This window comes from Homo sapiens, chromosome 2 (assembly GCF_000001405.40).
Source record: "Homo sapiens chromosome 2, GRCh38.p14 Primary Assembly".
Lineage (NCBI taxonomy): Eukaryota > Metazoa > Chordata > Mammalia > Primates > Hominidae > Homo > Homo sapiens.
The window spans coordinates 239,110,597-239,126,967 of record NC_000002.12 but is presented as its reverse complement, the minus strand read 5'-3'; the positions used below and the strand labels follow the sequence as shown (position 1 = coordinate 239,126,967).

The 16,371-nt window shown below is 57.2% G+C and overlaps 1 protein-coding gene across 46 annotated transcripts in view; it reads left to right on the top strand.

Moving 5' to 3' along the window:
- Positions 1-16,371, top strand: part of HDAC4 (histone deacetylase 4) — a 353,482-nt gene that overhangs the window by 274,682 nt on the left and 62,429 nt on the right. For 24 of the 46 annotated variants that reach the window (XM_047446486.1, NM_001378415.1, XM_011512226.3 and 21 more), the window contains 3 exons: positions 274-512; positions 11,658-11,915; positions 15,256-15,442. In XM_047446486.1, the coding sequence (XP_047302442.1) occupies positions 274-512; positions 11,658-11,915; positions 15,256-15,442 (684 nt within the window). The remainder of the gene's footprint in view (positions 1-273; positions 513-11,657; positions 11,916-15,255; positions 15,443-16,371) is intronic. The other 22 variants (XM_047446489.1, XM_047446483.1, NM_001378417.1 and 19 more) reach the window with 1 other exon arrangement.

Below are 16,371 nucleotides of genomic sequence, written 5' to 3'. Positions count from 1 at the left end.
CCACACAGGACTCCTGACGTTTCCTGTGTCGACCTGATTTTCATAGAAAATTGCCTCCAAATTATGGTTCCTATAGTCCCAAAGCACCAGCTCACGGCCCCCAGCCTCAGCTGGAAGGGGCCCAGTTAGCGAGCCAGCTCTGGGGCACCAGGGCAGAACGCCTGGGCTGGCGGGCACAGGGCGCAGTTGTCTCCATCACTTACTCAATAGCCCTCTCTCCCTCCTCTCTTCTTCCTCTTCCCCTCTGCTGTTTCTTCCTCCAATTATCTTCAGACTGGTATCTTTCAGGCCTGGGAGCACTGCCCCTCCACGCACAGTCCTTGGTTGGTGCAGACCGGGTGTCCCCCTCCATCCACAAGCTGCGGCAGCACCGCCCACTGGGGCGGACCCAGTCGGCCCCGCTGCCCCAGAACGCCCAGGCTCTGCAGCACCTGGTCATCCAGCAGCAGCATCAGCAGTTTCTGGAGAAACACAAGCAGCAGTTCCAGCAGCAGCAACTGCAGATGAACAAGGTGGGTTTGCCGGCTCAGCGCTCCCAGGCCCCAGGGCGGCTGTGTGCTGTGCGCTTCAGCCTCAGGCTTCAGCACTGGCCCCTTTCTGACCTTAAGGGAGGCCAGGAGGCAGAAAGAGGGAACCGAGGAGGCACATGCTCTGGCCCACAGCACAGAGCTGGGCAGGGGCAGGGGCAGAAGGGATGCTGCTGGGAGCTTGGGCTCAGGAACAGTTCACCTGCAGGGAGTGGGACGCGCAGGGCCAGTGCCCTCTCCCACCAGCCCGTGTGAGTTCCGTTGGACCAGTGCCCTCTCCCACCAGCCCATGTGAGTTCCACTGGACCACGTCCTGCCTGTGGTGCATCAGTGCCAGCGAATGGAATAGTCTACTTGGGCAACACTTTTTTCTTGGGTTTCCTAAGGCCATTTAGTAAACATACCTTTAAATAAACTAGCAACCCACAGTGCCCATCTCCCAGGCCATCCGGCACTTGCAGCCTGCCTGAGTGCATGAGCAGCGTACAGGGTAAGCAGCGTACAGGGCCGGGGGGCCCGGGTGCAGTTGTACAGGTGCAGAACTCCAGCAGGAAGTCGAAGGGACACTGTCAGAGCTGGTTCTGGGCCCCGGCCAGCCCACAGAGGTCTGCATAACCTACAGACATCTTGAAAGTCACTCAGATAAGTCCATTTTCAGGAGGAGGTAGTAGGCAAGGCTAGCACTGTGATGCTCGTGAAGAGGAAAACTAACATGCTGATTACGTGTTGATCAAATGCTGGCATTTGACATAGAGCATCTTTAAGGTAAGAGATGAGATGAGCTGCTATGAACATAGTCCAGCAGTTCCTCAAAAGGTTGGACACAGCCACCACATGGCCCCACAGCTCTGCGGCCAGAGATGAAAGCACACATCTACACGTAAACTCACTCAGGCATTCACAGCAACCTGAGTCCCTGTTTCAGGCCATTCCTGCACTGCTGTAGAGAAATACCTCAGACTGCGTGATTCATAAGAAAAGAGGTCTGATTGGCTTCTGGTTCTGCAGGCTGTAGAGGAAGCGTGGTGTTGGCCTCTGCTTCTGGGGAGTCCTCGAGGAAACATTCAACTGTGGTAGGCGAAGGGGGAGCGGGCACATCACTTGGCAAGAGCAGGAGCAAGGGGTGGGGAGAGGGGCCACACACTTCTAACCGACCAGACCTCACCAGAACCCACTCATTACAGTGAGGACAGCACCAACAGACGGTGTTCAGCCGTTCATGCCAAATCCACCCACATGATCCAGCCACCTCCTGCCAGGTCCCACCTCCAGTATTGGGGGCTAGGCTTCAGCAGGAGATGTGGGCAGGGACACAGATCCAAACCGTATCAGTCGTAATAACCGTATCAGTCGTGATAGCCACATTACATGGGAACAGCCCAGGTGTCCATCCTGTGATGCGCGGCCACACGCCGGCACACCGGAATGTCACATAACATGGAATGTCATATAACGCGGCCACACGCCAGCACACCAGAATGTCACATAACGTGGAATGTCATATAACGCAGCCACACGCCAGCACACCGGAATGTCACATAACATGGAATGTCATATAACGCGGCCACACGCCAGCACACCAGAATGTCATATAACGCGGCCGCACGCCAGCACACCGGAATGTCACATAACGTGGAATGTCATATAACGCGGCCACACGCCAGCACACCAGAATGTCACATAACATGGAATGTCATATAACGCAGCCACACGCCAGCACACCAGAATGTCACATAACATGGAATGTCATATAACGCGGCCACACGCCGGCACACCGGAATGTCATATAACGTGGAATGATGTGCGGCCACATGCCGGCACGCCGGAATGTCATATAACGTGGAATGACGTGCGGCCACATGCCGGCACACTGGAATGTCATATAACGTGGAATGACGCACGGCCACACGCCGGCACGCCGGAATGTCATATAACGTGGCCACACGCCGGAATGTCATTCAGCCATAAAGTGGAATGACACTGACAAGCGGCAGCACGGGAAGCCTTGGAAGCAGGATGCCAGGCACGAGAGGCCGCGTGTGGTATGATTTCATGCACATAAAACGTCCCCAACAGACAGACTCACAGAGACAGGACACAGACTCGTGGGAGCCAGGCCTGGGCTGCTGCGGGCAGATGGGGAGCATTTCTGGGGAACAGCGCCTCTTCTTAGGGATGGTGAAAATATTCCAAAATTAGATATGGTGATGACTGCACAGCTCTGTAAATATACTAAAAACAACAAATGATATCATTTAAAAGCGTGAATTGGATGGTATGTGAATTATATCCCAGTAAAGCTGTTACAAGGAAGAAAGAGGATGAGTTGATGGGAGGGGAACGTGGAGAAACCTTTGGCAGATTTGGCGACAGACGGAATCATTTCTCCGTTTATTGTCTCTCCTGTGAAAGTGCCCCCCTCACTCCACCCCACCCCCGTTGCTTCCCTGGATTTCAGGACCGGTCCTGGGTTGTCCACCTGTCCGGAGGCTCAGGGTCTTCTGTGGTTTTCCTGAGGGTGAAAAATTGGGGTTAGGACTGGGGAGGAGATAGACTTTCCTAGCACACGTAGACAGGAGTTGGAAAGTGAAATACCAGGATCCCAGCAAGAGCAGAGGTAAAGCCGTGGGGAGAGACCCCTACACCACCAACACTGCTGCCTCTTCCCGCAGCCCTGACCTCCTGATACCATTAGCCCCTCCTGCCTGCCTGGTCCCAATTTCCTTCTCTCAAGCCCCACAGTTCCAGCCCAGAAGAGGAGTCAGCTCAGCCCTGGCGCAGTGGTCAAAGGCTTTGATTGCGTGGTGTCCGGTCCAGTGGGGCTGAGTCGGGGAAGGCCCCTGGGAGATGGCAGCCGGCTGTGGCCCAAATCCATCCTAGTGTGTGAGCCATCATGGGGCTGCAGGCTCAGGATTGAGGAGATGGGCCCCTTGGGGCCTTGCTCCAGGGTGGCAGCCACGTCAGACCAGATGCCCAGCACAGGCCACAGCCTGGCCCCTGCTGCCCACTGGACACCACAAAATAGGCTCACCACCCCCACCCCACATGCCCCTCCACCCCCAAGCCCTCATCAGCGGACAGCAGGGAACGCATCAGAAATGGATGGGGCACCCAGCAAATCCCCTCATTGGGACGGGAAGGGCACAGGCTGTGGGCGTGTCGGGCGCCTGCCAGGCATCTTTACTCCCAGGTGTCAAAAGCACTTTCACATCCGTCTTCCTAATGCCAACTTAGGTTTGTTAATTTTATTATGTCATTATCTGAGTGATGGGGTAGGAGGTTTGAGGAAGACAGGAAACACCTATTCACATGCCGTATACTCTTGAAGGATTTAGAAACCGGGTACTCTCACTGGAGTTTGTTCTCTGATTGATTTACGGGAGTGAATGACAGTTGATTGAAACGTTTAGACAGTGTTTTCCCAGGATGCCCAGGAAGACAAGAATCTTGCCCAGGGCCGCCTAACACTGACGTCCCGGCCCTTCCTCTTGGAGGATGACGTCCCCAGGGGCTTGTTCCCTGAGGGCATCTGCCCAGCTCTGGCAGCTGTGAACCCTCCTGTCCCACTGCGCTGCTCCAGCCTACATTGGGGTTGCAGCTGGGGCCGGCTTGGTCTGCCCCTCCTTCAGCCTGTACCTTAGAGGGCAGTTGTTTTGGAAACATCACTGTGAATAAAAAAGAAAGAGAGGCGGCCCGTGCCTAGCCCTGGTGTTCCCTGCAGCCATATGTAGCCACTCTAGTTTTCCCGAGGCCTGCAGCCTGCAGAGCTGCCCCTTTTGGCTGAGAAAACTCCACCAGGTGGACAGGATCGACCCCGAGCTGGCTCTGCTCTCCTCTCCCCAGCCTGTGGTCGGGATGGTGGCAGATGTTTTCCAACTGTGTCAGCTTCTGTTGCCCGTGCCTTGTATGCAGTGGTGTTTATAAGGGTTTGCTGCATGAAGGAACTTTCTGGAGAACGCACACCATCAGAGGGCGAGTGGACCTTGGAACTCTGCAGGTGAAACTGGCCCTCCGTGTTCGCTGGCCACGTCCGGACTTGGCCTCAGTTATGTCTGGTTTGCGAGCAGTGGGTGATGTGTGTCCAGGCGAAATACCTCTTTCTATTAAAAGAGGACGTTCGTTGGAAGGTGTCCTCCACCCCTACAGCAAGAAGCCTTGCTTCTCAAGGTGGTTCTTCCCATGGTTTCTGGACTCTGCACAAGAACCTGCCTCCTGCAGAGCGGAGGGCCTCGGGTGTGTTTCCCTTTAACTTGACATCCTCGGTTTTGAATATGAAAACTTGGACTCATATTTTGGGTGGTCTAATTACGAGTGTGTCCGATTGTTTTAAAATACTGGCAGTTTACCAGTTCGGTTTTGGCCGTGAACTCCAGCCTGACTTTTTAAAAATGTAATTATTCCAAATATGGAGGTGCATTTGTTCTTCCTGAATTGATGAAAGGGGCTCTCAGTGTCCCCAAGGCCTTCGGGCTGCACAGAGCTGCTTCAATTGTTTGCCCGCGTCCGGCTCACCTCCCAAAGCCAGCTCTGCAGTGCAGCCCCAGCCCACAGCCCAGCCAGTGAGACTCAGAACTGAATGTCAAAGGAGAGAGAGAGAGAGAAGCAGGCTTTGTTTGCAGCCATGGCCCAGGGAGGTGACCCACAGGCGCCTGCGTCAGTGCCAAGGCAAGGGGCCTGGCCTGCGTCACAGAGGGCTCTGACGTGGCACCACTGCCAAAGTGACATCCTCCTCAGGCCCTGCCTGAGAGCCCTCGCCGGAGGCCCACGGTGTGGAGATGATCCCTCCTCCAGGCCGAGGGGCGTGCGGCAGCGGGGGACACTTCAGAGGCTTCATCCTCGTGAAAGGGAGGAAAAAGACCTGGGAATGTTGTCACTAAAGGACACTAAAGAGATGCGGCCCCTGGCAGCACACGCCATCCGCAGCCAGCCGGGGAAGGGCCATCCAAGAGCCCTTGGAACAGTGGGGAGGTCTCCTGATGCACAGCACGGTAGACGCGGCTGCCGAAAGCCTCAGGCAGGCAGGTTGCAGTGGCCTTGGGGCCCCTGAAACAGCCCCCCAGGAAGAGAGGCTGACCCCCGCTATGACCCCCACTACCTCCACCGCCATTCATCTGTGCATAGGGGAAGGACGTTTGAGATTTTCTTACAGAGTTCTTGAAGTTTTTCTTTAAGTTTGAAATTTAAAGCTGGGCATGGTGGCTCACACCTGTAATCCCAGCACTCTGGGAGGCCAAGGTGGGTGGATCGTTTTGGCTCAAGAGTTCGAGACCAGCCTGGGCAACCTGGTGAAATCCCGTCTCTACAAAAATTAGCCAGGCAAGGTGGTGCATGCTTGTACTCCCCAGCTACTCAGGAGGCTGAGGTGGGAGGACTGCCTAATGCATGACTGCACTCCAGCCTGGGCAACAGAGCAAGACCCTGTCTCAAAAAAAAAAAAAAAGAAATTTAAAGGAAAGCATCAGAAGAAAAGTCTTGGAGCTTCTGTGTCCACCGAGTCCTCCCTGGGCCGTCTCCTTTAAAAGGCAAACAGACAAACCCTTTTCCTCGATCAGCCTGGCTTCCTGGGAGTGGCCATTTGCTGCAGGAACCCCTCCCCTCCACCCTCAGCTGCCTTGTCCTCCACCCCACCCTAGAGAAGGGACCTGCCTCTGTGTCCTCTATGGGGTTGCTGCCCTCCATCACTTTTATCCACTTCAGAATGGCCCCTGGGCTGCTAAAGAAAGGCAGGCACACCACTTCGGTCATTGCTGGGATGGGGCAGCCCCACAGGGTCCCCTCTAAGGTCCTAGCCTTCCTCCCCCACCCCTCCCCCTATTTCCCTTCCCCGCCCCCCCATTTCCCTCCCCCACCTTCCTCCTTCTCCCCTTGCCCTTTCCTGGCATTGTACCCACCCTTCTGCTGGCCCTCTGGTCTCCTCTCCTTGTCTCTGTGTGCCTGTGCCTATGTGTATTTGTGTATCTGTGTATCTGTCTCTTCATGTGTATATGTATCTGCATGTCTGTCTATTTGTGCATCTGTCTGTGTCTGTGTGTGTGTGTCTGTGTGCGTCTGTGTGTGCCTCTGCGGGTATATGTATCTGTGTGTGTATGTATCTGTATGTGAGCCTCTGTGGCCTCCCTGCTTCCCGACACCCTACCACTGGTCCCTGAGGCCTCATCCCTGTTTCTTCAGCTCCCCAGCTCTGCGTAGCTCCTCTGTGCTCCCAGCTTTGACTTTATTCCACCTGCGTACTGCTCCAGTTCTGATCTGTCTCCCAAATCCCAGACTCGAATCTGCACTTTCTTGCTGGATTTCTCAGGGCCCCACCGGATGCTGGGATTCAGCCTCTCTGAGCTGCCCTCTACCCACCTCCCCGTCCCGGGGCCAGCACCTCCTCTGTGGTGGCCCTTCTCTGGCACTTGGCCAGGAGTCCTGGTGCCTCCTGCTCACTCTCCTGTCCACGGGTGGTCCCCACTGCCTTCTCTGGCACTTGGCCAGGAGTCCTGGTGCCTCCTGCTCACTCTCCTGTCCACGGGTGGTCCCCACTGCCGCTGGACCCAGCCTCTGTGCCAGCCTCTGCCCGGCCCTGCTGCCTCTGTGCAGTCGCTTCTCTGCAGGCATTCCCCTGCCCTCGCGCTGACTCATTAGCACCTTCCTGTGGCACAGGCAGGACCATGCACCCCTCGGAGAGACCCGCAGCCTCTCCTGCCCATCCACTGATGAGCAAAGCCCACATTGTGAGGAGCCCTCTGAGGCCCTGAACACCTCCTCAGCCCTGAGCTCCCATCTCCGTGTCCTCAGCCCTTAGGTCTGGTCCCCGCACCCTCAGCCCTGAGCTCTGAGCTCCCATCTCTGCGTTCTCAGCCCTGAGCTCCGTTCCCCTTAGCTCCAGTTCCCGCGCCCTCAGCCCTTAGCTCTGGTCCCCACACCCTCAGCTCTGAGCTCTGGTCCCCGCGCCCTCAGCCCTGAGCTCTGGTCCCCGCACCCTTAGCCCTGAGCTCCTGTCCCCATGTCCTCAGCCTGTGGTCTGAGCCCTGTCTCCTCATCCTTAGCCTGTTGCTTTTCCTTCCACACCTGCAGCCTCCAGGACATTCTTGCTTCCTGAAGGCCCGTCCTGGCTGCTGCTCTCCCTCCTCCCGAATCCCTCCTGCTCCTCATCCAGGGCATTGTCCTCAGCGCTCTGTGCCACCTTCTTAGGGAATTGTTCTGCTTTCAGATTCTTTGTTCTTTGCTCTCCCTCCGGTGCACCGAGTGATAAGGGCCCCGCTCTCAAGAAACCTCCCATACACCACTCAGTCAGTCACATCCCGTTACACATCAGACTGCACCGGGCCCTGGGGGAGCTGCAGGAACTGAGCGTATGGGTGCCCTCTTGATGAGTGTCCTGAAAGCCAAGACTTGGATGCCATCTTCGAGGTCCCCTGTGAAACAGCGCTGCTTCACCCGGCGCCCCTGCTGCACCTGGCACCCCTGCTCACAGCGACAGCGGTACCGCCAGGCTCCCTGTTCTCCCTGCCCCCCACAGGGCCTCTCAGGCTCTCAGTGTGCAGGAAGAAGATGGGACTGAGAAACCAGAAGCAATCACAGACCTCAAAATCATCAAGTGAAACTAGTGTTGAAACACATGCTTTTTTTGGTCAACCACTGAGAAACCTGTCAGAGCAAATGGGGACAATGTTGCTAGATTCCTTAGTTGAACTTGTTTCTCCCCGGCTTTGTGAAAGTCTAACCGGAAACAGTCGCATGTATTTACAGCGTACGGCGTGATGATTTGATACTTGTATGCGTTGTGAAATGATCGCCACAAGGGACCTCATCCATGCCCCCTTGGCCTCACGGGGCTCTCATTGTGTCTGTGGTAAGGTCCGTGAATATCGGGGCCACCAAACTGTGCATCAGGTCCCGGAACTTATTCCTCTCCCAACGGCACGCTCACCCGTGGACAGCACGTTCCTGTTCCCGACGCGCGGCCACCCACCGCTGCACTCTCCTCCCTGCGAGTTTGGCTTTCTGAAGCTGAGTTCCTTACGTGCCACGCCGCCTACTGGTTCCCACACTGCCGATGGCCGGCCCGCCCCGACACCCACGCTGCCTGCACCCGGCTGGACCTGGCTCCATTTCCCTGTGCCAGGTTGAAAGCTTTTCTGAAGAAAAGCTGCCTTCGGTTTAGAGATAAACAATGGATCTGCGTTTTCTTCACTCGGCTTTTACTGCCGTACTTTAAACTGCTCTTAGAAAGAAAGTTAAGGGATGATCAATCATAAAACAAACCCCCCGCCCAATCTGAAGTCTCTGATGTTCCACAGTGAGGCACAGCAGGGCTCTGGAGGCTGAAAACTCACCATGTTGTGTGTGTGTGAGTCTGCGTCTCAGCCCTGCTGCGTGGGGACCGGTGTCGTCTGATACGGCTGACCCCTGGGAGCAAGCGGACACTGAGTGCCCACCAACCCGTGCCCCGTAGTTCAGGCTGCTGGAGAGGCCGCCTCGCGTGAGTGTGGAGCAGCATGCAGTGCTCTAAGGGTGTTGAAATGCAAGGGCTCGGGGGATTTCAGGTGTCAGTCTTCCTTGCACACCTCAGTTTCCTTCTGGAAACAGTCGGATGCGGTGCCGAGATCCATCCTCCACGCGCTGTAGCTCCTCTCTCTGCCAGGAACTCGGCTTGTCCCACCGTCCCTCGAATCTGCCCTTCAGGCCGTTCCCCACGGGGACAGATGAATCGAGCATCCGGAGAGACCCCTCGATCTGGGACTTTGGGATTGTGGGACGTTCTTTCACAGTCTGCAGAGGAATGCAGCTCAGTCAGTGCCTTCTTCTGAGAAACTCCCTGTGCGCCCTTCCTAGTCTAACTCCAGACCCCCGCCCTCTCTCCTGAGCTTTTTTTTTTTTTTTTTTTTTTGCCACTTCCCGCATCCCTCTCTCCCCTCTTGTTCTCAACTCCAGCCTTTGCTCTGCTCACATTCATCCCTTTTCTGGCTCCCAGATGTGATGGGGCAGCTCCATTGCCCAAAACGAAGGAGTTGTCCTGGCCACCCTCTCTTGCCTCTCCATATGCAGTCTGTCCCTGGGCCTAGAGCTGCTTCCTTTTTGGTGTCATGGAAACCTGTTCTTTCTCCCATGCCTTAGCCAGACGTGGGGCTGGCCTCACCCTTTCAACCTCTGGCCTGTCTGCAGCAGGGCATGCTTCTAGAACGTGCACCTGCTTGTTTTCAGCCCAGAGTGCCCTTCCCACAGCCCCACCTCGTCTCCGGCACCCTGTGTTCCTGTTCTCTGGCCTTCCACGCTGCAGCCCTGCTGGCTTCCCACAGCTCCCAGAGCGCATTGAGGTCAGCCATACACCCTGTTCCACTTTGCCCCACTACGCGGACACCCCTTGCATTTGCCCCATCCTTTTAGTGAATGTGCGATGAGCAATGCCTGTGCCACGTGGATGAGTCAGAAGTGGTCCCTACCCTCCTGGGAACTGCAGACTGCAGGAAAGATGGATACATGAATGGCAACCACAGAAAAGCCAGAGGACTGGGGTCGGGGGGTGCTGGAGGAGGGCACATTGCCCTATCAGGAAGATCAGCTGACCCTGGAAAAGGTGACATGCACGGGAGGCTCACAAAGCCTCTTGGAGTGGCTGGAGGCCGAGGAAGGAAGGCAAGCAGCGGGCTGGAGGCGAGTGTGGCATGAGGGATGCAGAGCCAGCGGCGTGGTCGGGAGCAGGGTGGCAGGGAGGCTGCAGGGGCAACATGGCCACACGATGGAGGGGCTCTTCAGCAGAGGCAGGATGGCAGAAGAGCACTTGGGGGACATTCAGCAGGGGAGTGACCAGGTCCACTGGCCCGTTTGAAAGCGTGCCCTCACTGCTACATGAAGAAGATTGCAAAGCGTTGACGCTGGAGGTGGGGGCCTCCCAGGAGCCATGCTGTCATCCAGGCAGGAGAGGCCAGGTGGGGCAAAGCAGGAAAGGCAGGAGGTCGAGGCTGGAGAGAAGCAGCACCGTCCAGAGGCGTTTCTCGTGAGCAATGCATGGGCAGTGCTTGGCGGACAGAATTGGGAGCTTGGGGTGTGACTGGACAGCTGGCCAGAGAGAGGTCCCAATAGCCAAGAACAGGTCCTAGAGAAGGGAGAGGCTTGGAAGAAGCTGCCCTGCGTTCGGCATTGGACCTGCTGTGCTGGGGCTCATGGGCACTCTAGGCTAAGCTGAGGCGTCTGGCAGGCCATTAGGTCTGGAGGTAAAGAGCGAGTTTGGGCTCAGCACCACCTTTGGGAGTCGCTGATACTTGGAATCCAGAATGGGGAAATGAGCCGAGGAGCAGGCCCAGGACAAACCAAGACGGAGGAGCAGGCGGGGAGCAGGAGAGGAGCACCTGCCGCCTGTTCCGCACTGAGAGGCCGGGGAGGGAGACCGAGAAGCGTCCGTGAGATCCAACAGGAAAAGAGGTCGGGGGCATCTAGGGAGTCCCACAGGAGGGAGGATGTTGCGGTTCTTGGGGCCCCATAGCGGGGCAGGTCATGGAGCACCCATGGAATCCTGCAAGAAAGGAGGTCATGGTGTCCCTGAGATCCTGCAGAAGGGGAGGCCGTGGCATCCCTGGGATTCAGCAGGAAGGGAGGTCCTGGAGTGTTCCCAGGATCCGGCAGGAGGGAGGTCATGGCACATCGGTGGGATCCTGCAGGAGGGGAGGCCGTGGCGTGTTGGTGGGATTGGGCAGTGAGCATTGTGGACGTGGTTGTCTTCCGCTGAGTGGGTGGTGGGCTGTTTCTCTTAGCAGTTGTGGCTGTGAGGTCAGCATTGGCCTCTCCCCTTCACACTCAAGCTCTCCTCTGCAGACTCTGTTGACACCTGCAGCTTCTTTTCTGTTTCTCGGTGCCTGACACAGAAGAGGTGCTTAGTAAACCCCAAATGTTAGTCAGCCTCCTTCCCTGGGCCAGGTCACCTTGACCCTGGGCTGGGGTCCTACTGGGCATTATTTTCTTAGGCACTCAGGCACCCCAGTGCCTGTTGGGAGATAAAGGTGCCTGCTGGCCTGTGGCAGGGTGATAAGGTGCCCTGAGTCCCTGATTGTCTGCCCCAGAGGGTGGGGTTTGCAGCATCCCTTCTCCTGTCAGATGAGCTCAGAGGACCCAGCTCTCTGTGCTTCATGTGTTACCTCCGCCTTGCAGATCATCCCCAAGCCAAGCGAGCCAGCCCGGCAGCCGGAGAGCCACCCGGAGGAGACGGAGGAGGAGCTCCGTGAGCACCAGGCTCTGCTGGACGAGCCCTACCTGGACCGGCTGCCGGGGCAGAAGGAGGCGCACGCACAGGCCGGCGTGCAGGTGAAGCAGGAGCCCATTGAGAGCGATGAGGAAGAGGCAGAGCCCCCACGGGAGGTGGAGCCGGGCCAGCGCCAGCCCAGTGAGCAGGAGCTGCTCTTCAGACAGGTGACCGCAGGCGGGGAGGGCACCAGAAGGCTGGCACGCACAGCCACCCTCGGTCCCCAGGTGGCATCTTCTGTGGTGATCACGGGGGCTGCAGGGCATCCTTGCGCGGTCACTGTCCAGTGTCTCACCTGTCTTGTCCTGGCCAGTGAGGGAGGTTGATGTGGCTTCCATTTTGTCCCAGCCGTTCCTAGGGATACGAGATGTTTGCCCCCTGTGGGTGGTTACGTAACTGCTTTCCAGCCATGCGCAGGCCCCAGAGAATGGATTTCCTTCCTGTCTGTAGGCTGTAAATGAACACAGAATCCATGTGTTAGTGAGATACAGCATGCTTTTTAAAGAAGTGAAGGAACTAGAGGTATTAATTGATCAAAAAGGCAGGCAGGGCCTGATCAGAAGTCAAGACCTTTTGTGACCCAGAGGTGCTAATGAGCAGCCCTGCAGATCCAGACAGACGGGTGCGATTGTGGCACCCAGAGCCAGTAAGGCTTCAGGGCACTGACACCCAGTAACCAAACTCACAGGAGACTGATGAAGAAGGCCAGTGAATGACTGGTTAATTTCCATTGAAACATTAAACTTCTGAGTCAGCAGAAATACCTAAGGCATTTGGGCAGCCAGCTGGAGCCCCGTATCTGCAGCTAGAGTGCCCTCAGGAAAGTGGCTTCCTCCCTGTAGGCAGGAAGCCAGTCCGAGGAACCACAGCTCTGTAGGATTTGATTCTATCCTCCAGCAGCAGAGCTGCTGCCTCGGCTGCAGGAGCCACTGGCTCGTTCCCTCCCTTCTCTCTGGACTCCATGCCGGCCGTGCCGTTGAGCACCTCCCCAGCTTCCTGACTGCCAGCTGTGTGGCCAGACGCTGCATCTCCACCCCCAGCAGCACCTTGGAAGCCAGGAGCAGGACGCCCTGCAGTAAACTGTTCCCCTTAATTCTCAGCTACAGTTCTTAAATGCTTGCCACTGAATGAATCAGTGTGGGGCCTTGTACCTGGAGCACCTAGACCCAAGCCTGCCACACACGGGATCAGTGCTCAGTGGTCTCCAGAGGCTTCTGGGTCAGGAGCCCTTCTCCACCGAGCTTCCCCCAGTGGCTGGCATTGGGTGCTATTTCTCCTTCTTGTTCAGAGGGGGGCCTGTCTCTAATTTCTGGGCCTTCTTAATTAGCACCCCGGGCACTAAACACTACAAAGCCCAGCAGAACTAACGCTTGGCAAAGACAGAGAGAGAAAGCCCCGGGCCTCTCTGGCACACACACGGTGCTTCATGGTGAACACTCGTCCACAGGTCCTGTCCGACAGGCCCAGGGTGGGGGCCTCTTCCTGTGGTCGGGCCTTGTAAGTTGATGAAGATCTGAAATTCAGTGTGCTATTATTAGGCTGATAAGAAATGGGAAACTATTTACATTAATAATTTTTAGGGCTAGTTTCTCATAGATCAGCCTTTACTTTGAGAAAAAGAGGCTTGTTATATTCCAAGCATGAGATGATTATTAGAAACACTTATTTTCTGTTCTCTCTGGAGAGTAATAGGCAGAACCCCTTATCAGGGAAACGTCGTAGTACACGGAGCAATTTGCCGAGGTAAACATAAGGCGGGGCACCTCCAGCCCGCGTCGGGGAGGATTGCTTATTAACCACTTAACCGCGTGGGGCCCACGGCAATCCCAGCTGAATTTGGTCAGCAGCAGACTGGGGGCCTGTGGGTGCTGGCTCCTGCTCCAGCTCCTGCTGCAGCTCCTCCCACTGTCTCAGGGCTTCCTTCTTCTCTGCTCCCTCCTGGCTCTGATTCCTTTTGTGTGTGTGTGTGTGAGACAGAGTCTCACTCTGTTGCCCAGGCTAGAGTGCAGTGGTGCCATCTCAGCTCACTACAGCCTCCGCCTCCTGGGCTCAAGCAATTATTCTGCCTCAGCCTCCCAAGTAGCTGGGATTACAGGCACCCACCATCACGCCTGGCTAATTTTTTGTTTGTTTGTTTGTTTTGTTTGTTTGTTTTTTTGGAGAGATGGGGTTTCACCATTTTGGCCAGGCTGGTCTCGAACTCCTTACCTCAGGTGATCCACCCGCCTCAGCCTCCCCAAGTGCTGGGATTACAGGCATGAGCCACCACGCCCAGCCTGATTCCTAAAGGCAGGACAGATCGGAGCCTGGCCGGGTAGCTCTGGTTTCCCCCAGTGCTGGCAGCACAGGGCTGGGCTCTGCCTTCATACAGGAGCTGGGATGTAGGTACCTGGTTTTCCATGTTCACAGGATTTGTTCATCAAAACTAAGACAGGATTGGCGCAGAGCTCCCAGCAAGGAGGCGCCCGGCTTTCTTTGTGCCTCGGCCTGGGTGGCAGGTTGCTGTGCTCTCCCTCAGCTGCTGTCTGGGGAGAGGCTTGGCAGCTGTGACCTCATCTCTGCCCTGCTCCCTCCACTCCACTCTGCCTCGTATGGGGGTTTGCACCTCAGCCTGTTCCCAGAATCCCTCAGGGTGTCCCAGGCCCCTGGCTGAGTGCCCCCCCCACACACAGAGCCCAGCCCAGCTCCATCTCATCAGAGAGGCACATCCCCACCAGCAGGCCTGCTCTAGGCCCCAAAGGTCCTGGGTGCCCAGAAGCTGATGGGCTGTTACTGCTTTTAGCCTGCACGAGGGTGTGTGGGATGTGAGACCAGGGAGGGGAGCGGCTGCAGATGAAGCCCAGTTGGCACTTTCAAGTCTGAGAGCCGATGGTGCTTTCTCGCCCAAGTTTGGCATGCAGATTCAATGCTGTTGGTCAGAACTAAGACCCACAAACCCAACAAGGGGGTTGGGCTTCGTGCCCACTCACCGTATGTGTGTGGTATGGCAGAGTGGACGCTGTGGTCCCCACATCTACATGGCCTTCGCATATCCCCCAGTGAAACCAGCGAGGGCCAGGCTGCCGCCCCAGCAAGAGCTTCTCTCCACACCTGCCAGGCCCTACTCCCCTGCACCTGCTCCAGGCTGCTCCTGGCTCAGCACCTCCTCAGAGAAGCCCTCCTTGATACCCCATACTGGGCCAGGCCTCCCTGGGACCCCCTGACTCAACCTGTGTTATCCTGTTAACGTAACCCATGGCAGGATCCCACGTGGACAGCCTGCCTTCCCTAGAGAGACCGTCCTGGGAGGCAGAGCCTGTGCTGGCCTCGTTCTTGGCTCTGGGCCCACTCAGGCTTCAGGGCACTCACAGGGAAGGCCTCTCCACGCAGCTGGCCTCCCGGCATCCTTGTGGCCCATGTATGGCCTGTGCGTGGACGGGAGACTTGCAAGAGAGGGCAACCCCTAGCCCTGCAGCCCAGGGGCGGGAGACATCCGCAACCGCCAACACGGCCGTTTCTTCCCCGCAGCAAGCCCTCCTGCTGGAGCAGCAGCGGATCCACCAGCTGAGGAACTACCAGGCGTCCATGGAGGCCGCCGGCATCCCCGTGTCCTTCGGCGGCCACAGGCCTCTGTCCCGGGCGCAGTCCTCACCCGCGTCTGCCACCTTCCCCGTGTCTGTGCAGGAGCCCCCCACCAAGCCGAGGTTCACGACAGGTAACACGTGGCCTTTGTGCAGCCTGAGGGTGCAACGCGGGCCACAGTGGGCACAGCGCGGGGGGCTCTTCCCGGCCCAGCTCTGCAGAGGCTGAGGAGGGGCTGGGCAGGCACGAGGGCCACGCTGGATGGTGGGGACCACACAGGTCTGTCACAGAGGCCCTCTCCCCGCCCTACACCCCACACCTTCAGTTCTGTCATGCTGGGGACCTGTCACGGGCTCACTTGCCCACTTTCCTGTCCCAGAGACCCATGGTCTCCTCCAAGAACAGTCCACAGCCCATGCCCGTGGGGCCATGAGAACCTACAGCTTCTGGTCCGGCTCAGGAATCATGAGCCCACGCTTCTCCGCTTACTCCCTCACACTTCGCCCACGTCCACAGCGTTGACGCTGAGGCTCCAGTGACAGGGCTGTGAATGGCTGGCGGGGGGCTGTGATTACACGAGAGCAGAGCCCGGGACCCCTGGGACACGCTGTGGGAGCCACACGTCCTCTGTCTGTGCCATCCCTCATACCATCCTCACCCCGGGGAGGCGATCTGCCAGCAGGGGTCCTTGGTTTTCCCTCACAAGAAGGAGGCAAGTAAGGCGTCCACCACGGCTGAGGAGGCAGGAGGGGCCGGGCCCTGGACTTGTCTGCCTGGAGCTAGCCAGAGCCGGGGAGGAGACTGCTGTCCTGGGCCGCCCCGCCACCCAGCCACCCCTGCAGGGGAGAGGAGGGAAGGAGGGCTGGCTTCTGGCAGGGCTTGCCTCTGAGACAAGCACAGAGGCAGGAGCGCTCTTCATGTTGTTATGATCTAATATTTCTTGTTAATGACGCACTAAGAAAAATGTTCTGTAAATACAGCACGGCTTCATTCTTCAGATGATTCTCATCACGTGGCTTAGTGTTCTGCAGTCTGCGAGGTTCTCACTCTCAGGTCTTAGAA